The sequence below is a fragment of the Homo sapiens genome, chromosome 10, assembly GCF_000001405.40.
Source record: "Homo sapiens chromosome 10, GRCh38.p14 Primary Assembly".
Taxonomy (NCBI): Eukaryota; Metazoa; Chordata; class Mammalia; order Primates; family Hominidae; genus Homo; species Homo sapiens.
The window spans coordinates 70493206-70514796 of NC_000010.11; the positions used below are offsets into that span (position 1 = coordinate 70493206).

The 21591-nt window shown below is 50.1% G+C and overlaps 1 protein-coding gene across 10 annotated transcripts in view, besides 8 other annotated features; it reads left to right on the forward strand.

The window, feature by feature from the left end:
* The window catches only part of PALD1 (phosphatase domain containing paladin 1), a 109966-nt gene that overhangs the window by 34721 nt on the left and 53654 nt on the right, over positions 1-21591 (forward strand). For 2 of the 10 annotated variants that reach the window (XM_011539637.3, XM_047425060.1), the window contains exon 1: positions 424-1460. The exons of the other annotated variants lie outside the window; for them this stretch is intronic. The gene's annotated coding sequence lies outside the window, so the exon portion shown is untranslated. Of the gene's footprint in view, positions 1-423; positions 1461-21591 lie in introns of those variants that run through there. 10 annotated transcript variants of the gene reach the window in all.
* Positions 414-1074: an enhancer, noted in NCBI's record as "H3K27ac-H3K4me1 hESC enhancer chr10:72253375-72254035 (GRCh37/hg19 assembly coordinates)". NCBI's record gives its function as "activates a minimal SCP1, AML or CMV promoter by ChIP-STARR-seq in naive H9 embryonic stem cells {active_cell/tissue: H9 hESC(naive)}" and the evidence as "EXISTENCE:reporter gene assay evidence [ECO:0000049][PMID:30033119]".
* Positions 1015-1064: an enhancer, noted in NCBI's record as "active region_3507". NCBI's record gives its function as "activates an Ori minimal core promoter by ATAC-STARR-seq in GM12878 lymphoblastoid cells {active_cell/tissue: GM12878}" and the evidence as "EXISTENCE:reporter gene assay evidence [ECO:0000049][PMID:35858748]".
* Positions 1835-1894: an enhancer, noted in NCBI's record as "active region_3508". NCBI's record gives its function as "activates an Ori minimal core promoter by ATAC-STARR-seq in GM12878 lymphoblastoid cells {active_cell/tissue: GM12878}" and the evidence as "EXISTENCE:reporter gene assay evidence [ECO:0000049][PMID:35858748]".
* Positions 5734-6495: an enhancer, noted in NCBI's record as "H3K27ac-H3K4me1 hESC enhancer chr10:72258695-72259456 (GRCh37/hg19 assembly coordinates)". NCBI's record gives its function as "activates a minimal SCP1, AML or CMV promoter by ChIP-STARR-seq in naive and primed H9 embryonic stem cells {active_cell/tissue: H9 hESC(naive and primed)}" and the evidence as "EXISTENCE:reporter gene assay evidence [ECO:0000049][PMID:30033119]".
* Positions 6496-7255: an enhancer, noted in NCBI's record as "H3K27ac-H3K4me1 hESC enhancer chr10:72259457-72260216 (GRCh37/hg19 assembly coordinates)". NCBI's record gives its function as "activates a minimal SCP1, AML or CMV promoter by ChIP-STARR-seq in naive H9 embryonic stem cells {active_cell/tissue: H9 hESC(naive)}" and the evidence as "EXISTENCE:reporter gene assay evidence [ECO:0000049][PMID:30033119]".
* Positions 20236-20771: an enhancer, noted in NCBI's record as "H3K27ac-H3K4me1 hESC enhancer chr10:72273197-72273732 (GRCh37/hg19 assembly coordinates)". NCBI's record gives its function as "activates a minimal SCP1, AML or CMV promoter by ChIP-STARR-seq in naive H9 embryonic stem cells {active_cell/tissue: H9 hESC(naive)}" and the evidence as "EXISTENCE:reporter gene assay evidence [ECO:0000049][PMID:30033119]".
* Positions 20640-20689: an enhancer, noted in NCBI's record as "active region_3509". NCBI's record gives its function as "activates an Ori minimal core promoter by ATAC-STARR-seq in GM12878 lymphoblastoid cells {active_cell/tissue: GM12878}" and the evidence as "EXISTENCE:reporter gene assay evidence [ECO:0000049][PMID:35858748]".
* Positions 20772-21306: an enhancer, noted in NCBI's record as "H3K27ac-H3K4me1 hESC enhancer chr10:72273733-72274267 (GRCh37/hg19 assembly coordinates)". NCBI's record gives its function as "activates a minimal SCP1, AML or CMV promoter by ChIP-STARR-seq in naive H9 embryonic stem cells {active_cell/tissue: H9 hESC(naive)}" and the evidence as "EXISTENCE:reporter gene assay evidence [ECO:0000049][PMID:30033119]".

Sequence of the window (21591 nt, forward strand, 5' to 3'; positions counted from 1 at the left end):
AACTCCTGGGCTCAAGTGATCTTCCCGCCACAGCCTCTCAAAATGTTGGAATTACAGGCATAAGTCACCACTCATAGCCTGTTTCTGGCACATAAACAAGAGGTGCTTACTGTAGAACTGTTCCTTAGTTTCTCCACCCGTGAAGGAGGTCTGTGAGCAGCCCAGCCATGGCCACAGCCTGGGCTCTGCGGACAGTGATGTCTGCAGTGGGTCAGACATGCCACATTGACTTCCTTTCCAGATCCTCTTTTCCTCTGTCTGTCTTTTGTGTCGCTTTCCACAATGGCCTGTGTGAGCCTCAGGACCAGTTCCTCTTTTGGGATGCTGCTTCCTTCTAAGATTGCAGCTGAGGGTGGCGTTGGCCCCCTTGTCTGTCTGTTCAGTCCTCACTGCACACCCACTTCCCCCAAGTCTGGCCCGTTTCAGTTGGTGGCAACCCCATGCTTCTAGGTGTTCAGGCCAAACACTGCAAAGCTGTCCGTGGTTTCTCTCTTTCTCTTACACTTCAGAAAAGATGTGCCAGGAGGTTCACTGGCCTCACCTTCAGCATGGATGCACGGCGAGCCATGTCCTCACCTGTCCTCTGCTGCTAGCCCCGCCTCCAGCATCACCTGCACTGTTGGAGTAGCCACCTGATGTTTCTGCTGGTTTCTGCCCTTGTCCCCAACCAACTCTTCTAACACAGCAGCTAGCAGACCTTGTCAGAACTTAAAACTCAGGTCAGAGCACTTCTCTGTCCTAAGCTCCCTAGGGGCTCCCTGTATCCTCACAGTAAAAGCCAGTGTCCTTACTGTGGCTTCCAGGACACCATCATCCAATACCCAGCCTCATGCTCACCTTGTCACAGCCGCACCGGCTAGCTCATGGCTCTTTCAATACCCTAGGAACGCCCCTCCCCCACAGGACATTTGCATAGACTAGCCCTGCGACCGGAGGTCCTTTTTCTCCAGAGAGCCACAGGGCTGCCTTGTCACTTCCTTCAGTCTTTACTCTCATGTGAGGCCTCCCCTGTATACCTTGTCTAAAATTTCACCTCTTCCCTGCATCTCCTTGTATACTATTTTACTAATTTATATAGTTTATTTCTGTGTCTCTTGCTAGTGTGCATGAGGCAGGGATTTTTGCTCTGTATTTCTGGCTCCTAGAACAGTGCCTCACACATAGGTGGTGTCCCAGAAATGTTTGTAGGATAGCTACAGGAAGAGAGAATGCATGAGCCCATTTTATAGATGAGAAAATGATCCTCAGAAAGGTGGACTGGAACCTGGTCTCTCCACTCCCTGCCCAGGGCTCTCTGGCTGAACCACAGTTGCCACCTCCTCTTCCCCATATCCCTGACTCCAGAACAGTCACGTGAACCTCGTGGGTTTGAGCGTTCAGAACTCCCTTAGAAGCTCCCCTTGTCAGCGGGGTAATTATGGAACTGGCAGCTACCTCTGGGCATTTGCACGGAAAGGATGGTAAGAGCCTGTTCCCGTGGGCGGGGGCTTGGTCTGTGTGAGGCACTGAGTTTGGCAAGTTAGAGGGATTTCTCAGTTAAACCTCACAGCTTCCTGTGGAAGGGGACTGGTCATGTCCTCCATTCTGCAGACAGTGAAGTAGGGAGCTTTTATATGGGCAGAAATGAAAAAGATTGGTAACGTGTTGAACTAGGCAGGATGTGGGAAAACTGGCTTTCTTAAGCATGAAGCAGCATTGGTTGCTGTATACAATGCAACAACCTTTTGGAAAGGTAATTTGGCAGTATCTCGGAAAGCTGTTTAAGTGCACATCTTTAGCTCAGCCTCCTGAATTCTGGTAACCTGTCCTAAAGAAGTAAACTATCAGGATGCAAGGCTGTGTGCACAAGGATTTTGCGGCAGTGAACCGGAGACTCGCTGTCTCCTTTCAGTTCTGTGTTCTTCCCACCGCAGGGCATCTGCACGGGCCGTTCCCTCTGCTGCCGGGCATGTGTCTTCACACGGCCGGGGCCTTCCTGTCTTCATACGTCGGCATAGGCCTTCCGTGACTGTCATATCTAAAATATGTTCCTTCCCTATCTTTCTCATCTAGCTCAGCCTCTCAGCCCCTGGTAGCCCACATCACAATGTATACAGTGTATCATAATCGTGTTCCCTGGTGGACTCCCTCCCTCCCTCCCTCTCCTTCTCTTGTTGGAAGATCTGCTCCATGAGGGTCCGGGTCTGTGCCTGTCTGGTTGACAGGGTCAGTACTTCGCAGCTGTTTGTTGAATGAGTAGTGATGCAATGAAATGGCTTTTGCCACCATTAAGCAGACAGGGTTGGAATTACGTGTATTGGCTGGGAGGGGTGTTTGTATTAAGCAGACGGGGTTGGAATTACCTGTATTGGCTGGGAGGGGTGTTTGTGTTGTCCTGTTAAGGGCAAAAGCTTGTTGCACAAGGAAGCTTAAGAGGTGGGCTTGGATGGGGATGGGAAGGGCATAAGCGTTTTCTCTATAGACCTTTGACTTGTGACAATAAGTACAAGTTACTTTTGTAATAAAAAACATCTGGCAGGCCGGGTGTGGTGGCTCACACCTGTAATCCCAGCACTGTGGGAGGCTGGGGCAGGAGGATCACTGAGGCCAAGGAGTTTGAGGGGAGCCTGGGCAGCATAGTGAGATTCTTGTCTCTACAAAAAAAAAAAAAAAAATTAGCCAGCTGCGGTAGTGTGTGCCTGTAGTTCCCCAGATACTTGGGAGGTTGAGATGGGAGGATTGCTTGAGTCTGGGAGGTCAAGGCTGCAGTGAGTCATGATCGTACCACTGTACTCCAGCCTGGGCAACAGAGGGAGACTCTATCTCAAACAACAACAACAACAACAACAACAACAGCAGTAACAACAACAAAACCTGGTTAACCAACAAAGAAAATTTTAAAAAGGGGAAGAAATATCCCATTAGGGAGTATCAGGACTTGAACTCTGGTCTTTCGGACTCCCAGCCCATGTTCTTACCCATAACCCAACCCTTGCCATGTTTCCACACACAGCCTGTTAGTATAGCCTCACTGCAGTCCTCAGGGGAGGGCAGAGTATGAGTTATTAGCTATTTCTGTTTTATTTTGTCAATTGAGATCTAATTTTCAGATAGTGAATCAAGGCATAGCTTGATGAATTGCTACGGTTGTATCACCTGTGTCTCCCTACCCAGATCAAGGTGTAGAACATTTCCAGTGCCCCAGAGGTTCCCTGGTGCCCCTTCCCGGTCCTTTCCCCCACCCTGCCACCCCTGTAGGTGGTCACTCTCCTGACCGCCTTCCCAAGGATCAGTCCTGCCTATTCTTGAACTTTGTACAAGTGGACTAACACAGTATGAGCTGTTTTTATCTGGTGTCTTTCATTCCACATCAGCCCTGAGGGAGTCACCCGTGTCGCTGCAGGTATCAGTATCGTTCATTTCATTGCTGAGTAGGGTTCCATGGTAGGGACAATTTGTTAATTCTTTTTCTTATTGTTGGGACTTTGCCATGTTTCCTTTTTTGGTGCTTGTGGATAAAGCTACTGTGAACATTTTTGTGTCTTTTGATGAACATGAACACCCGCTTCTCTAGGACGTAGAGCCAGGTGTGAACTGCTGGGTGCTGGGGTAGAATCCTCCTTTCACCAAGAGGGAGACCGAGGAGGTTCCAGAGGGTCTGAGAGAGGAAGAGCCTTGCCCAGGGTCACATGATAACTCAATTAGCCTGTCTAACCCTCTTCCTCCCTTCACCTTCCAGTCTTAACAACCTCCCACTCCCAGCTGCAGCCTTGTGGGAGAGTGGGCAGGCTGGAGTTGGGGGTAGGGGGGCTTCTGGAGGGCCATATTTCCAAGTCTCGTTTCACTGGGCGTGCCCACGAAGCAGCAGTCTTCTCTGCCTTCCTCGCCCACCTCCTTCCCCATCCCTGGCTCCAGAGCGAGTGGCCAGACTGCAGTTTGCCCTACGTGGTGGTTGGTGCTGGGAGAGATGAGGAGGGCTTGCTGTTTGTTGGATGTTGGTGCTGGCCAGGCACAGACCCCGATCAGCACATAGGGGCTGTACTGGCATCTTGAGCCTGGGATGGTGCACATACGTGGATGAAGATCTGAGCAGAGCCCTGCACACACCTTCTACTCACGTGTGCTCCTGGCGGGTGCAGGTGTGCACAGCTGCCTCGCTCAGACCCAGCCTGTCTGGGGCCGGCGCATGCCTGGCCACAAGGCCGCCAACTCCCTGACCCGAGGTAGCGTTTGGGTCATTCCTCAGCGCCACTCGCACAGCTCTCCTGACTGTGCCAACTCTCTGGGTGGTGGTGCCTTTAGCTCTTTCCATATCTGCTCCATCTCTCCATCCTGAGCTCTGCAGGGCTGGAGATAGAAATGAATATAGGCATTAAAAACTTTTTTTTTTTTTTTTTGAGACAAAGTCTCGCTCTGTCACCCTGGCTGGAGTGCAGTAGTAGCGCGATCTCGGCCCACTGCAACCTCTGCCTCCCGAGTTCAAGCGATTCTCCTGCCTCAGCCTCCCGAGTAGCTGGGACTACAGGCGTGTGCCACCATGCCTGGCTAATTTGTGTGTGTGTGTGTATTTTTAGTAGAAACAGCGTTTTACCATGTTAACCAGGATGGTCTTGATCTCCTGACCTCGTGATCTGCCCGCCTTGGCCTCCCAAAGTGCTGGGATTATAGGCGGGAGCCATGTGCCTGGCCTATTAAAAACATTTTTTAACGAGGCCTTAATTTTCTTTTACCATGGTAAAATATACGTAACATAAAATTTACCATTTTGGGCGTTTAAAATTGTATAATTTAATGTCATTAAGAGCATCCATATTGTGCACCCATCACCACCATCCAGCCCCAGAACTTTTCCTTCTTTCCAAACTGAAACTCTGCACCCATTAAACACTAACTCCCCACTCCCTCTCCTCCAGGCCCTGGCACCCACAGTTCTACTTCCTGTCTCTGAATTTGACCAAGGTATCTCATATTATTGGAATCGTACAATATTTCTTCTTTTGTGTCTGGCTTAAACATATAACATAATGTCCTCAAGGTTCATCCGTATTGTAGCATGTGTCAGAATTCATTTCTTTTAAAAAATGTTAACATTTATTTTATTTTTCTTTAGAGATGGGGTCTTGCTCTATCACCAGAGCTAGAGCGAGCACAGTGGCATGGTCCTAGCTCACTGCAACCTCAAGTTCCTGGGCTCAAGCAATCCTCCTGTTTCAGCCTCCCAAGTAGCTGGGACCACAGGAGTGTGCGCCACACCTGGCTAATCTTTAAAATTATTTTTTATCGAGGTGAGATCTTGTGTTGCCCAGGCTGGTATCAAACTCCTGACTTCAAGCAGTCCTCTTGCCTTAGCCTCCCAAAGTGTTGAGATAACAATCATGAGCCACTATGCCTGTCCTGTTTTGTTTTTTTTTTTTTGAGGCTGTAATTGTTCTTTTGAGCATATTTGAAAGGTATCGCACAGACTGGGCGCGGTGGCTCACGCCTGTAATCCCAGCACTTTGGGAGGCTGAGGTGGGTAGATCACCTGAGGTCAGGAGTTTGAGACCAGCCTGGCTAACATGGTAAAACCCGGTTTCTACTAAAAATACAAAAAATTAGCCAGACGTGGTAGCGCGTGCCTGTAAACCCAGCTACTTTTGAGGCTGAGGCTGGAGAATTGCTTGAACCTAGGAGGCAGAAGTTACAGTGAGCCAAGATCGCCCCATTGCACTCCAGATTGGGCAACAAGAGCAAAACTTTATCTCAGAAAAAAAAAAAAAGGTATCATACGTCTTTGGGATTGAGTGAGGGGGTCAGCTTGATGGTGAGAGTGGCAATAAATAGCATTTGTTATGTTTACCAGGTGCTAGCACTTTCCTTACATTGTCTCATGTAATCCTTACCATATCCCTATGAAGTAGGTATTAACATTATCCTTATTTTACACATAAGGGAACTAGGCTCAGAGAAGTTCGGTAACTTAGCCAAGGTCACACAGTAAGTCACGGGCAAGCTAGGTTTGGATGCCAGTTCTGCCTGGCTCTACAGCCAGTGCTGTGTGTTTCTGACCCCAGCTCTGGCCCTTCCTTCTTCAATACCAGGCTTAGAGTTATTTCTTCAAATCCTTCTTGTCACCTCTCTGGCCTGAGTGTGGAGCTGATTGGTGCCATGGTATGGGCCCCTCCTCCCAGCCCCAGGTCCCCTTCCTGGGCCCCAGCTTCTTCTGAAAGCCTCTTTATGCAGCAGCCTCTGGGCCAGGCGGGAGTGTCTGCAGGGAGGTGGGCCTCAGAGCCCGCAGTGTGAGGCTGGCAGGGGCGGCTTGGCCTGGGGTGGCCACACGGCAGGATGTCCCTCTTGGCAGGACTTTCCCTGAAAAAACAGCTACCAGGACTTCAGGATGGAAGGGACAGATAAACAGGAAGAGGGAGAAACTTAAAAATATTTTTCTTCCTCTCCCGTGGCCTGGCATTTTCTCCCTGCTCCTCCCTCTGCCACTGGAGGTTTGAGGTGGTGGAGTGCTTGCTCCCCTGCCCGAAGCTGCCCGGGGGCCTGGAGAGCCACAGCTGGCAGGTGCAGGTTCATTCTTGTGGGTTTTGTTTTGCCTGATGGGCTGGTGTGAGCCTAGGCATTCAGGGCCAGACGGCCTGAGTTTGAATCTTTGCTCCACTGTTTCTTTGCTGTGGGTTCTAGGCCAAGTCACTCAGCCTCCTGATGCATCAGAATGGCCACAATCTGTAGCTGCAGGGCTATTTGGAGAAATGATATGGCAGTGACTCTTTGTCACGCTCCAGCTGTGACACTCAGGTGGATCTGTACAGGGGTTTTCTCAGTTAGTCCTCATGGCCTCAGAGGTGGGTGTGGGCATGGACTTCACTGACAGGTGTTGAAGCATAGAGAGGTGGAGCTTCAGTCAGGGGCATCAGGCTGGTCGTGGTGGAGCTAAGGCTCGAGCCCACACAGTCTGCATTCAACGCCCTGCTTGCTCATTGGTCTGGTGTGTGGTACCTTGGCACGTGGTACTATTGGAACTGTGAACTTCTTTCTTAGTTTGGGGTTGGTGGGGTGAGCTTTGCACCCCAGATGTCCCAGAGCAGTACCCACCCTGTTGCTCAGGTGCCTCCACATGGTGCCTCCTCCCTGCAGCCCCACTAGGTGGACACAGGCCGTGGTCGTGCTTCTCTCCCATTGCCACAGCTGGGCAGCACATCACACCCCGCAGAGCAACACCTAAGATCCTGGCATGGTCCCCAGGGACTGGGGTTCGGCCTACCCCACCTCATCCTATATTCTGGCCTCACAAGCACCTTAATTCTTCCCACAATACTATACAGGAGGCACCTCTCTCTATGCTGCTCCCTCTGTGCAGAGTGTGCTTCCTCCCCCTTCCGGTCTATCAAATGTTGCTCATCCTTTAAGTCCCAGCTCTGTTCCTTTTTCGGGAAGCCTTCCCAGAGTTCCCGACCATTAGTTAACGTCTTCCGCCACTGTGCAGCTCGGTATAATGGGAAAGGTGCTGGAGTCCCTGCGCTTCTGTCAGCCTCTCTGTGCCTCAGTTTCCTCATCTGTGGATTGGGGATTATAGGGGTGGGGGAAGGAGAAAGCTTGGACTCTCTTGCTCTGGTCCGTGTGGAGTTGGCTGGAGCCGGTGCAATATGGCCCTCTTAGGGTTAAGTTCCTCCCATGCCAGGGGCGGAAGTGAAGAGGACAATGTGTGAAATGAAGTCACTTCCCTGCCGGGGGTCTGCCGTGTGCCTGGCCTTCTGCAGTAAATCCTGTTTCCTCCTTGGCCTCTGTATGCCCACCCATTCCTGGCTCCCATGACCCCACAGGCCACCAGCAGGTGGGGGCTCCTGATGGAATGTTGGCCTGTCTTTCATCCGGCAAGGTCACTTCCTGTCTGGATAAGCCATCCCACCTTTCCTGCCACTGAGGGAGGCTACATGAGGTCAAGTGCAATGCCCAGCCTGCTCCTTTTACTCCTGGGGATGCTGAGGCCCAGGGAGGGGAGAGAACTTCCTGGGGTCAGGCCTCCAGACCACACTCCAATTGTGGGGAGGACTGTGTGGGCCAGGGTGCCTCCTGTGGTTGTTTCTGGGGAAAACCAGGCCTCACAGGCCTGCTGCATGAGGTGAGGAAGTTTCTCGGCCTCCCTGGGCCTCCATGGAACCTGGGGGAACCTGAGTGTAAGAACCATCCTGAGAACTAACCTGGTCTGGCCAGGACATCATGGCCTTATTTAACCTTCACTGCCCTGCAGGAGAGCGAGGCTCAGAGAGGCCAAGCCATGGGCCTCTGGTGAGGGACAGCGCTGGCGTCTACGCAGCTCCTTCTTACCCCACTGGCCAGTTTTCCCATGAGAAGGTGTTGAGCGTTCCAGCAGTGGCACCTCGGGAGCGTCCTCACCCCGTGGGGTCAGGGTCCCTTGGGCTGTGAAGCTGTTGCAGAACCATGGTTGCTGGTGTCAGTGGCCACTGTGTAGTTCTTTTTTGTCTTTCTTTTTTTTCTAAATAGTGTATGTTTACTGTAGGGAAATGAGAGAAAATAAAGATATCCAGGAAGATGAGAAAAATCATCTGAGATCCCATTTTTCAGAGATAAGTACGGTTCACCATTGATGTTTTGAGATTTGTCCTTCCAGACATTTTTACTCTGTGTGTGTGTGTGTGTGTGTGCGTGCGTGCATGCATACCTGTGTTCATGCACATTTGTATACAAGAGGCCTCCCCCTTTTTAATGGAACAAAACTCTAAAATCCTGTAGTGTCTTTTTTTTTTTAAACTAGACATATAGTAGATATTTTTCTACATCAGTAAATAAGCTGCTATTTCATTCGAAGTTTGACATCCATAAAAGAGCCAAGGACAGTGGCTCATGCCTGTAATCCCAGTGCCCTGGGAGACTGAGGCAGGAGCATTAGTTGAGGCCAGGAGTTCGAGACCAACCTGGGCAACATAGTGAGACCCTCATCTCTACAAAAAATACAGACTCCTGTATCCCATCACCACACCCTCTTCCTGCTCTCAACAGGACTTCTTGCCTGACTTCCAACATTATAGACTAGTTTTGCCTGTTTTTGAGTTTTAGATAAATGGAATCATGTAGTATTTGCTTATGTTGGCTTTTTTCGCTCCATGTCCTGTTAAGGATGTTCATCTGCTGCTCCATCCATTTTGATGGCCTTAATGACATCCATGATACATTCAGCTTCAAGCACTGTTGATGTGAAAGACATTTCTAATCTTTCACTAATATCAACAGAACTGTACTGGATACCTTTGTGGCCCTGTCTTTCCCTGTTTCCTTTGGATACATTGATAGAAGGATTGCAGGGTCAAAGGGTCTGCAGGACAGTTTTGTTGATATTAGTGAAAGACTAGAAATATCTTTCACATTCATAGTGGTTGAAGTGGAATGTATCATGGACGTCATTGTGTAGTCATGAAAATGGATGGAGCAGTGGTGGATGAATATCCCTAACAGGATATGGGGCAAAAGAAGCCAATGTAAGCAAATACTACATGGTTCCATTCATCTAAAAAGGCCACTTTAAAGATATTTTAGAATTATTACCGGTTTACATCCTGCCAGGTGCTCAGGAGAGAGCCCGTCCCCAGTGCCCATGCCCACATGGGTGTTTCCACCCTGGTTCACCTCCGATGTGATGATGGACACTGCATGGTTTTCATTGTTTCTGGGTTCTCTTCTCTTCTCTTTTCTCTTCTCTCTTTTCTTTTCTTTTGGAGTTTCGCTCTTGTTGCCCAGGCTGCAGTGCAGTGGCGTGATCTCGGCTCACTGCATCATCTACCTCCTGGGTTCAAGCAATTCTCCAGCCTCAGCCTCCTGAGTAGCTGGGATTACAGGCATGCACCACCATGCCCAGCTAATTTTGTATTTTTAGTAGAGATGGGGTTTCTCCATGTTGGTCAGGCTGGTCTCAAACTCCCGACCTCACGTGATCTGCCTGCCTCGGCCTCCCAAAGTGCTGGGATTATAGGGGTGAACCACCATGCCCAGCCGATTTCTGGGTTTTCCATTACAAGTTAGGTTGGACATTGTGTCTCATGTTCATTGGCCATTTGTATTTCTTCTCTTTCTATTTTGCTTGTTATTTTTGGTCTGTTTTACTTTCAAAATGTACTTGTTTTCCCATTTGTTTGAAAAATAATCCATATGTTGAATGACAGATAATAGGCCGGGCACAATGGCTCATGCCTGTAATCCCAGCACTTAGGGAGGCCAAGGCGGGTGGATCACCTTAGGTCAGGAGTTCGAGAACAGCCTGGCCAACATGGCAAAACCCCGTCTCTACTAAAAATACAAAAATTAGCCGGGCATGGTGGTGTGTGCCTGTAATCCTAGCTACTCAGGAGGCTGAGGCATGAATCGCTTGAACCTGGGAGGCGGAGGCTGTGGTGAGCCTATATCACGCCACTGCACTCCAGCCTGAGTGACAGAGCGAGACTCTGTCTCAGAAGAAAAAAAAGAGAATGACAAATAATAAAAATACATTGAAAATATTTTTATCCAGTTTGTCATTTGCCTTGTAACTTCGTGTTTTGTTTTTTTCTGATTGGTCAAAAGCTGATTATTTTTTATGCAGTCTGATCTGTCCACTTTAACTTTTATGTGTTCTGCCTCCAGAATTTTGTGTAGAAAGTTCTTTTCTGTCCCAAGATTATACAAATATTTACTTACATTCTCTTCTTTCATGTCTGTGGCTTCCTTTGTATCACGTCTTCTTTTATCCTTCCGCACTTCCTTTGGGAGCGTGATGTAAGATGAGGGGCAGCTATAAAGAGCATGCCTGGGAAGCCTGGCTGCCTGGCTTTGAGCCCTGCTCAGCCACCTGCGCACCCTTGGGGCAAGTTAACCCGGACCATCTGGGCCTCAGTGTCTGCACCTGCAAAAATGGGAGTAAGGCAAGGGTTATGAAGGTGAAATCAAACTGTTTGTAAACGTATTCTCAGGGCTCCTTTACACTTAAAAATTGACGACTCTAAGAGCTTTTGTGTGGCTTGTATACATATATCAATAGCTACCACACTGGAAATTGAAACAGTATATTTAAAAACACATATTTCGGCTGGGCATGGTGGCTCACGCCCGTAATCCCAGCACTTTGGGAGGCTGAGGTGGGTGGATCACCTGAGGTCAGGAGTTCGAGATCAGCCTGGCCAACATAGTGAAACCCTGTCTCTACTAAAAATACAAAAATTAGGCATGGTGGTGCATGCCTGTGATCTCAGCTACTCGGGAGGCTGAGGCAGGAGAATCACTTGAACCTGGGAGGCGGAGGTTGCAGTGAGCCGAGATCGTGCCACTGCACTCCAGCCTGGGTGACAGATTAAGACTTCGTCTCAGAAAACTAACAAACAAAAACACGTATTTATAAATTCATTTATAACAAGCCTATTATGTGGTAACATAAATAAAATCTATTATTTTTCCTGGAAAATAACTGTATGTTCCAAAACAAAAAAATTGAATAGGAAGCGTGGCATTGCCTTTCAGATTTGCAAGCCTCTTTCGTGTCTGGCTTAACAGAAGACAGCTGGATTCTCATGCCTGCCTCTGCATTCAATCTATTGTGATACATTGTTTTGACTGAAGTATGGTGAAGAAAATCGGCTTCACCACAGATATGTAATGTGAAAAGGGAGGAATATTTTATTAGCTTCTAGATATTTTCCTTTGATCCTATGTAAAAATTTGACAGGTGGTTGATTCTTAAAGCTAGTTGAAATGTGGAATCTGAAAGCACATTAATGAACATTTTGTACCTCGTCACGTTAAGATCCACTGGACTGTGTTGCAGTGCGAATGGCTCCGTTACGGGATTTTGTAATATCAGGCATCTGTCTTTGGGAAAATATTGGCCCTGTGTGTTACACAGATCTTCCAAATGTGGATACATTTCATGTCAACATTTTAAAAAAGTCACATCTGTTACTATCGTCACACCTATTATCAGAAAAATCTTTCTGTTTTCAGCAGCTTTTGAACTCACAGTGGGTGACACACGCTTTCCAAAATTCTAATTTTCCCTTGAAAGCTCCAAGCTCCAACTTTATTATTGGCAACAAATTAAGTCAGTTGTTTTCTTTGAAGGGACAGGCTCACTTTACTCATTTTTGTGAAAATATCTGCCATGGCCAGGTGTGGTGGCTCACGCCTATAATCCCAGCACTTTGGGAGGCCGAGGGAGGCGGATCACCTGAGGTCGGGGGTTCGAGACTAGCCTGTTCGAGACCAACATGGAGAAACCCCATCTCTACTAAAAAAAATACAAAATTAGCCGGGCATGGTGGTGCATGCCTATAATTTCACCTACTCGGAAGGCTGAGGCAGGAGAATCGCTTCAACCCGGGAGGCGGAGGTTGCCGTGAGCCGAGATCACGTCATTGTACTCCAGCCTGGGCAACAAGAGAGAAACTCTGTCTCAAAACAAAACAAAACAAAACAAAACAAAACAAAACAAAACAAAAAAACAAATCAGAAACTGTCTGCCAAATACTCATATCTGAAAACCCACTGTTTGTCTGTTGGTCATTCTGTCAAGTAAAAATGTTGTTCCCGGCCAGGTGCAGTGGCTCACGTCTGTAGTCCCAGCATTTTGGGAGGCTGAGGTGGGCGGGTCACTTGAGCCCAGGAGTTGGAGACCATCCTGGACAACATGGCCAAACCCCATATCTACCCAAAATACAAAAGTTAGCCGGGCATGGTGGCGCATACCTGTAGTCCCAGCTATTTGGGAGGCTGAGGTGGTGGGAGGATAGCTTGAGCCCGGGTTGAGGATGTGGTGAACCGTGATCGTGCCACTGCACTCCAGCCTGGGTGACAAAGCAAGACCCCATCTCAAAAAAAAAAAATAGTATTCTTTGGACTAGAGGCTGGGTCAGCTCCAACTCTGACGAGCTCTGTGTCATTCTTGGGCCTTACATGCACTTCCCGTTTTATCACACAGAATGTCAAATGGACATGTACCCAAAGGCTAAGATTCAGTGAAACTAATCATTTTTACTGCCTCATCATGGACCCTTACGTGACATTGGTGAATTTTGTCACCGCGAGTGCATATCTCTGGGAACACAGTGAGACCGGCCCATTTTGGGGCTGCTGCCTTGTTCTACTGAGACTCTAGCAGTTTCACCCCCTTCATGGCTTTTGAGCCACCAAATGTCATTCCAGTGAAAGGCAGTGACGTCTTAGTGCTGCGGTGAGAATCCTGTTGACCTCTGGACCCCTGGAAGGAAGGCGCTGGGCCCTGGGGTCTGTGGAGCCTGCTTTCAGAACTGTAGGATTAGATGACAGATGCACGGCTGAGCACAGTGCCTGGCACGCTCTTGGAGTCCAGTACATGTTACCTGCTGCCATTATTATCCTTTCCCCCAACTAACCTGAGTGACACTGCCTGGGGGAGTGGAGGTGGAAGCCATTGGGTTAAGAATTCAGTGTTTGTGATTTCAAATCCTGCTCAAGGTGCTAACATGTTTGGTCCTCAGGAGTGAGTGAAGGGCCCAGGGGACTTGATAGGTGCCCCATTTTACTTGCCCCTCTGAGCAGCAGGGAGGGCACGACTCATCGAGAGACCCAGGGGTCTCAATCAGGCAACTCTCCCTCATGGGTGGAATCTGCCTCTCAGAGAGGAGCCCTCTGTCTTCCTTCTGACCTGAAAGGGCTTCCCTGGCCTCTGGCCTCCATGTGTCCTCCTCCTTAGCCTTCTCACCTGGGGGTGGGGGTGGTCAAAGGTCAGCGCCTTCCACCCAGCATTTTCTTTCAGGCAGTCAACACATGGTGGCCACTTATGGACTGTATGTTGTACTGTGGGACCTGGACTAAAACCCCATCTGTGCTGTCTGGTTTATTCTCACAACACAGACACCTGCAAAGTTGATCCTTTAAAAAAATTATCTTTCTATTAAAAAAATTATCTTTCTATTAAAAAAAATTTTTTTAGGACAGGCACGGTGGCTCGTGCCTGTAATCCTAGCACTTTGGGAGGTCGAGGTAGATGGATCACCTGAGATCGGGAGTTCAAGACCAGCCTGGCCAACATGGTGAAACCCCGTCTCTACTAAAAATACAAAAAAAAAAAAAAATTAGCCGGGCATGGTGGCGGGTGCCTATAATCCCAGCTACTTGGGAGGTTGAGGCAGGAGAATCGCTTGAATACAGGAGGAGGAGGTTGCAGTGAGCCGAGGTAGTGCCATTGCACTCCAGCCTGGGCTACAAGAGCGAAACTCTGTCTCAAAAAACAAACAAACAAACAAAAAATTTTAGAGACAGGGTCTTGCTCTGTCACCCAGGCTGGAGTGCAGTGGTGCGATCACAGCTCACTGCAGCCTTGACCTGGGCTCAAGTGATCCTCCCACCTTAGCCTCCCAAGTAGCTGGGACCGAAGGTGTGCACCACCTTGCCTGGCTAATTTTTGTACTTTTAGTAGAGATGGGGTTTCGCCACGTTGCCCAGGCTGGTCTCGAACTTGTGGCCTCAAGCTATCCGCCAGCCTTGGCTTCCCAAAGTTCTGGGACCATAGGTGCATACCACCACACTGGCTAATTGTTACATTTGTATGTTTTGTGTGTGCGTGTGTGTGTGTGTGTGTGTGTGTGTGTGTGTGTGTGTGTGGTGTATGTATGTGTTCGTAGAGATGAGGTCTCACCATCTTGCCCAGGCTAGCTTTTTATTGTTTTAAAAAAATTTTCCCTGTTTTGTTTATCCAAGTGGCTCCTTTGTGCCAAGCACAGGCCAGGCCCTGAGGATGCCAGTGAAGGCCAGCACCAGGTCCTGCCTGGTGGGTCCCCAGGGAGACCCCTGTGGTGGGAAGGCACGGAGGGGAGGATAAGGAAGCCTCCTGATGCAGGGAGTGGGCTGGACAAGAAGATTGAGCCAGTCAGGAAGATGTGGAATGAGTGATTGGGGGGCTGGTGTGTGGCCCTCAAACTTCGCTGCTCCACGGAAGAAACAGCAGCATCTTTTCTGTCGCTGGAGGAAAACTGGCTGGGCCAGACCATTTGAGAGACGGCCCAGCCTTGTTGTTTATGGAATATGTCAAGGATCTTCAAAGGCAACATTTCTGCCATCAACAGACTGCAAAACACCCTGCTCCCACCCCCTGGTCCAGTAAGATGCTCCTCGGCTTTCTTATTATTTTTGTTATTGATGTTGATTATTTGCCAAGGCCTGTTGATGGTGCCCATTCTAGGGACTGTGAGGAGGTGCACTGGCTGGAGTTTAGGGCATGGGAGTTGGGGAGCAGCAGGTTGGAGAAGGGCTGGGCCAGCCCAGCGTGCTCCTGGACTGCCACATGCTGCGCCCTGAGTCCAGCTGATATGCTTAAGGTAGAATCTGCCTCCTCAGAAGCAGGGTCACTGGCCCCAGCTGGACGTGCCCAGTGATGCGCATGAGCACGAGGTGCCATAGAGAGTGAGGAGCAGGAGAACCCTGTCCCAACGCCACCACCCACTGTTCTTGTGACTGTGGGCAGGTCTCCGGCCACCCGTGGACCCCAGTTTCCTCCTTTGTAAAATGAAAGGGTCAGACTTGGGTCTCAAAGGTACTTCTGGCTCTCAACTCTAAGATACACGTGGGTGCCCAGGGTGGGTTTCGACTCTGTATGGCGTGTGTGTGTGTGTGTGTGTGTGTGTGTGTGTGTGCAGGCCTGTGGGAGCTGCGGAACCTGTGTGTGTGTGTGCAGGCCTGTGGGAGTTGCGGGACCAGGCCCAGGGCAGGTGAAGGGCTGGTCTGAGCCCCTGCCCTGGGTACAGACCTGGACGTTTCATGTGCTCTGCACCCACAGTAGGGGAACCCTGCAGCACGGCAGCTTCCTCTGTATTTGTTCTTGAGCTGAGGCAGATGTTTCCTCCAGCTGGCCACTCGGCCCTCTGCCGTCCCCCAGAGTCGGGCCCTATTTTTAGCTCCATTGTTACTCACCCTGGGCATCTGGCTGCCAGGGGCGTGTGAGAGGCCATGGCTCCGGAAGGGGTACTCTCCCCCTGGGTCCCACGTGTTCTTTGCCCCCTGCCGGTCCCTGCTCTAAGCTTCCTAGTGTCCGTTGGGAAAGCTGGGGTGGCTTCAGTGGAGGAATGAGGGAGTGGCAGGTGAAGTGCAGGAAGAGCCAGCTGCGGAAACGGAGGCTGGGCTCTGTCTTGTACTGTAGAGAACTCTCTGGCCTGTTTTTTCACCTGCTTGATGGGACAGTTGCCCTGTGCTTCTCCCTTCCTCATAAGGTTGTCCTGAAGTTCCAATGTGAAATGCACTTGGTAAAGTGGCATTTGGAATCTACAACTATTGTGGGCTGAATCCTGTTAGTAGGGCTGCCCCACAGAAGGAACATCAGACCCAGAGTGGGGAGGTGAGGCATGTACTTAGGAAACACCAGGCCACCGGGGTCAGGGCCAGGCTGGGTGGAGCACAGGCTGAGTGCTGCTTGGCTTGGAGCAGGAGGCCCATTCATTTCCACTGGATGTTGATGGATGTACTGAAGGGGGTGAGGGTGGCCTGGCGTGCCTGGTTGTGGGACCCACAAGGGTGAGGGCAGGGAAGGGCCTTAGGTCCTGGGAGGACCTTGAGGGCCTTGAGCAGCTCTGTGGGGCAGCTCTGGAACTTCTCTCTAGGAGGGCACAGGTTGGGTCTGGGGGCAGGAAGCGCTGCAGCTTCTTCTGAGCGTGCAGCCAGTACACCAGCTCTGCTCCTGGCTGTTGGACACACAGGGCTTTCAGGAAACATTGATTTTGCACAAAGAATTCAGCCGCTGAAATGTCTGAAAACCACCCATCTATCTCGTCCAGATGGAAATAAGCGTGGGCTGTGCCGAACTCTTGGAAAGTCAGGGCTGGAGGAAAACTTCTAGTGGGGCTTTTTTTTCCTGTTCAACACTACGGGGCAGCTGGGATCTGGATTTGCCTAAAATATTGGGGATGTGTGGGGCAAATTCATGGTGTTGAGATGAGGGTGCCTAAGGGGGTACTTGAGTGCTGGGCAAAGGAGTTTAGACTGGAGGCCACAGTGGTGGGTGGGATGGAGACAGATGCCCAGAATCCAGGTCATGGTTCTCCCCAGCTCCTTGAAATGATGCTTTAGGTACCTGGGAGATTGCTGGAGGTTGGAAGTGGGGCTGAAGTGTGCTTTCCCACTGTCACTCTGGGTCTAGTCCCTGGTGGCAGCCAGGAGAGTGTCAGCAGGGCAGAGCACTGGGTGAGGTCTTAGGCCACTCTGAGTTTCTGCTGACCTTGAAATGTCCAAATGCCTGACTTCCTGGAAGTGAGCACATGAGCATTCCAGATACTCTTAACCCTATTCTCCCTGGGCCCCCCTCCCTAAGGCATTTGCCCCCAACACCTGGCTGCATGGAACCTAGAGATAGACAGGAGCCAGCCTTTTTCAGAAGAAGGCATTGCCTTTCCGTGAGTTGACCAGCTCCTTCCTAATTGTTACACTCCCCTCCCTCTGCTCCTTCCTGAAAGAACCAACAGGGCAGGGTCCCTCCCATCCAGGTAACACCTTCTCGCTTCCCAGGGACTTCCTTGTCTCAGAAGGCTCCCTAGAGGGAAAAGGAGAGACTGCCCTCCAGATGCAGAGAGGCTTGTGGTCTTTCTCTGCCATTTTGGAGCAGTAGAGGCCAGGTCTCTATCTATAAGGTGGAACAAACATTTAGCGGCTTGGGACTTTCGAAATCTCTGCAGCTGACTCAGGGAAAGCTGCTTCACCATGCTGTCTCGCAGTTAGTGGATGGTGCTCTAACGGTGTGCATCTCGTGTGTGTATCCTTAGCTATCCTGCAGGCCCTGGTGGGCAGGGATTACGTTCTGTGAACCACACACTTGGATCCTGGGCTCCCAGGATCCTGGAGTCACTCCGCCCAAACGTGGAGCTGCCAGCCCACAGTGTAGCCTGGCTTTCACCAGTAGGGAAACTTGACATTCTCCTGCAAGAGGAGAAAGAAATAAATTCTCCCCTGTTCCCATGTGGCATGTGATCACTGAGGGTCAAACCTAAAAATAACAGAGTGCATTAATCAGGATTAGATTTGGCTGCAAGTAATAGGAAAAGCCAAATAACAGTGGTTTACACAACTTGGAAGTTTATTTCTTCGTCCTGTCTAAGCCCAGAGTTTTGCAGACCAGGTCTGGTATAGTAGCTCTACCCTATAGTTTCCTTGGGGAACTTGATGTCCACCGCACTGTTCCCAGGCTGTGGCTTCAAGGGCTCATGGTTCAAGATGGCTGTGAAACTTAAGTCATCATATCTGTGTCCAGGCAGCAGGATCGAGACAGGGAGGAAAGGGGTCTTGTAAGGAAGGATTCCAGAACTTGGCATCTTATACTGACGCTTATGTCCCTGTCTTAGTCCATTTTCTGCTGCTATCACAGAATATCATGGACTGGGTAATTTATAATGAACAGAAATTTATTTGACTTACAATTCTGGAGGCTGGGAGGTCTAAGAGCACAGCACTGACATCTGCTTGGCATCTGGTGCAGGCCTTCTTGCTGTGTCCTCTTATGGCAGAAGGCAGAAGGGCAGGTGAGCATGTGAAACAGATAAAACTCACTCCCCAAATCCCAATTTTAAAAGGCATTGAGGGCGGGGCGTGGTGGCTCACGCCTGTAATCCCAGCACTTTGGGAGGCCGAGGCAGGTGGATCATGAGGTCAGGAGTTCGAGACCAGCCTGGCCAACATGGTGAAACCCCATCTCTACTAAAAATACAAAAATTAGCCGGGTGTGGTGGCGGGTGCCTGTAGTCCCAGCTACTCGGGAGGCTGAGGCAGAAGAATCACTTGAACCTGGGAGGCGGAGGTTGCAGTGAGCTGAGATCGCGCCATTGCACTCCAGCCTGGAGACAGAGCGAGACTCCGTCTCAAAAGAGAAAAAAAAAAGGCATTGAATCCACCGTGAGGACAGAGCCCTCATGGCCTAATCACACCTCTTAAAGGCCTCTTAATACTATTATAATGGCAATTAAATTCCAACATGAGTTTTGGAGGGGCCATTCAAACCATAGCAGTACTGTTAGCCTGTTAGTCACATGGCCCCAGGTCGCTGCAAGGGAGGTGGGGAATGCAGTCTTGGCTCTGGGCAGCTGTGTGCTCAGCTGGCTGTCCCTGCTTCTGGGGGATGAAGGCATTGTGAGATTTTTGATTAAATCTGGGCCATTTCCAGGCTGAAAAGCTGGACCAGAGCTTCAGGGCTTGAGTCTCTCACAGAGAGATTTCCCAATGGGGACATCAGTCCTGCCTTGGGACCAGAAAGCCACATGCTGTAGGCCAGGAAGGGGGAAGCAGGGGCTGAGCCCGAGGGAGAAAGGCTTTAGAGGTGTTAGCAGACAGCTCAGTGGCAGTGGTTAGAATTAGGGAGGCAGCGACCTCTTCTTAGTGTGGTCAGAGCATGCCAAGAAAGTGTGGTCTGTGTCTGGGCTGCTGAGGCCCGAGGGCAAGGGCCAAGCTCATTCATAGGACAGTGGCCAAGAAGCGGGGACTGAAAGGCTTGGGAAAAGTAAGGAAGCTCTGCAGGTTCTGGGACACAAGTGAACACGGTAAGCAGTGGAAGGCCCACCCCAGGACAGGGTTAGACTGGGAGCACTGTCTCCTTGTAGCCCACAAGAGGCCAGGGCAGGGCCCAAGTACAGTGTGGAAGTCCAGCCTGGTGGACTGCAGGGATCCCTGCCCAAGCCCACCCCCTGCTCACCTCCTCCAGTGGCACCTTGTTGTTGCACATTTTTTAATTCATCAAGAGAAGCCGGAGATCTAGATTTTTATTTGAAATTCATTGATTTCAAACTACGGGTGGCTAATTAGAGTGGAAAATACAAAACTATGATGATCATACAGATTGCTCCTGAGACCGACCCCTTTTTGCCTGTGGGCCACAAGCCGTCTCCCTCCAGTGAGGATGAATCCTCTGGGTCCTCAAGGGCAGAACCAGGAGGAATCCATGGAGCACTTCTCATAAGACAGCTTAACACTTTTTTCAGTTTTACTTTTGAAATTTTTTAACCCCCATTTTTTTATTTGGAAAAATTTTAAACCTACAGACAAATTGAAAGAGTTCGCCGGGTGCGGTGGCTTATGCCTGTAATCTCACCACTTTGGGAGGCCGAGGTGGGTGCATCATTTGAGGTTAGGAGTTCGAGACCAGCCTGGCCAACATGGTGAAACCCCATCTCTGCAAAAAAAATAAATAAATAAATAATTAAAAAATTAGCCAGGAGTGGTGGCACATGCCTGTAGTCCCAGCTACTTGGGAGGCTGAGGCAGGAATTGCTTGAATCCGGGAGGCGGAGGTTGCAGTGAGCCGAGATTGCACCACTGCCCTCCAGCCTGGGCGACACAGTGAGAATCCATCTCAAAAGATCAAAAAAAAGGAAGAGTGCAGTAAGTAAACTCCTGTCTGCCAACACCAGGTAAGATTTGTTCCATTTACTTCTCTCTCTAAATCATGAACGTCAGACATCAAGAGGCATTACCCCCAAACGCTTCAGCCTGTATTTCCTAAGAACAAGGGCATTCTCCTTTTAGCCACAATCTGAGGATGTTAACTTATTTATCCAGCATATACTCCATCCTCAAATTTTCCCAGTTGTCCTCAAAATGCTCATTACAGCCTTTCCCTGCTCCCCAATCTGAGATCCCATAGACAGAGCGGCAGAGCAGACCCACTTGGAGGCAGGCAACTAGGGGTGCTGGAAAAGGTCCTGAATTCCAGGAACCTGCAGGCCCGTGATGGCTGGCCCACACCCGGTGACCCAGGGACCGCTGCTGGCTGCGGGGCAGGCTTTGTCATCCCGAGAACCCGCCTGCCAGGTGAGCTGAGAGGGAGGCTTCCCCCTGCTCTCTGAGGGCGGGCAGGGACTTCCCCATCCCTCCACAGCTTCTCTCCACTCAGTGGGCCGACCTGATTTGCATTCCCACACTCTGCTGGCCCTGGGTGCTGGCCTCCATGTGCCACAGTGCCTCTGCGGGCCGTCCGGTCATTCTGTCCACCTTTGCCCACTTCCTGCTGCATGCCCACCTTGACTTGTCATCTCAGTGTGTGGCAGCCATGAGGCCTCCTTCCTGCCAGGACTTGGCGCTTGCTTCAAAGGCTCCCCAGGGATTGCAGGCTGAAGGCTGGAAGTCAGGGCTGCCCCCCGCAGTGGCAGCCCCGCCTGCAGAGCAAAGGACTGCATTTCCACACGTCCTCTAATTTCTGTTTTTAACTTTTAAACTATTTTTTTTCTAGTTTAGAAAAATATAAAAACACTTGAGAAACACATAATTTAGCAGGTGAAGGGTTCCTGTGATCCCAGCCCCCAGACAGCTTTATTTTAACATTTAGATTGGACTCTTCCTAGTTTTAAAGAGAAAGAGGCTGAGGGGCAGAGGTCATGAAGGATGGGTCTGTGGGACCCCCAAGAGATGAAGGAGTCGGGGCCAGGAGCCTCTGCCTCCATGAAGCCTGTCACCTGGGAGGTTCATGTCTTTGACTTTGCTCAGCCGTCACCTCTTCTGTAAACTGGGGATCCTAATTCTCGGCTCTCTTGAGGGCTGTAGCAAAGACACAAAAATCCTACCAGACTGTACAAGTGGAATTATTGTCAGGGGAACACGCGCTGCAGTGGGCAGAGTGCGCCTGGGCAGAGGGCCAGGGTTAAG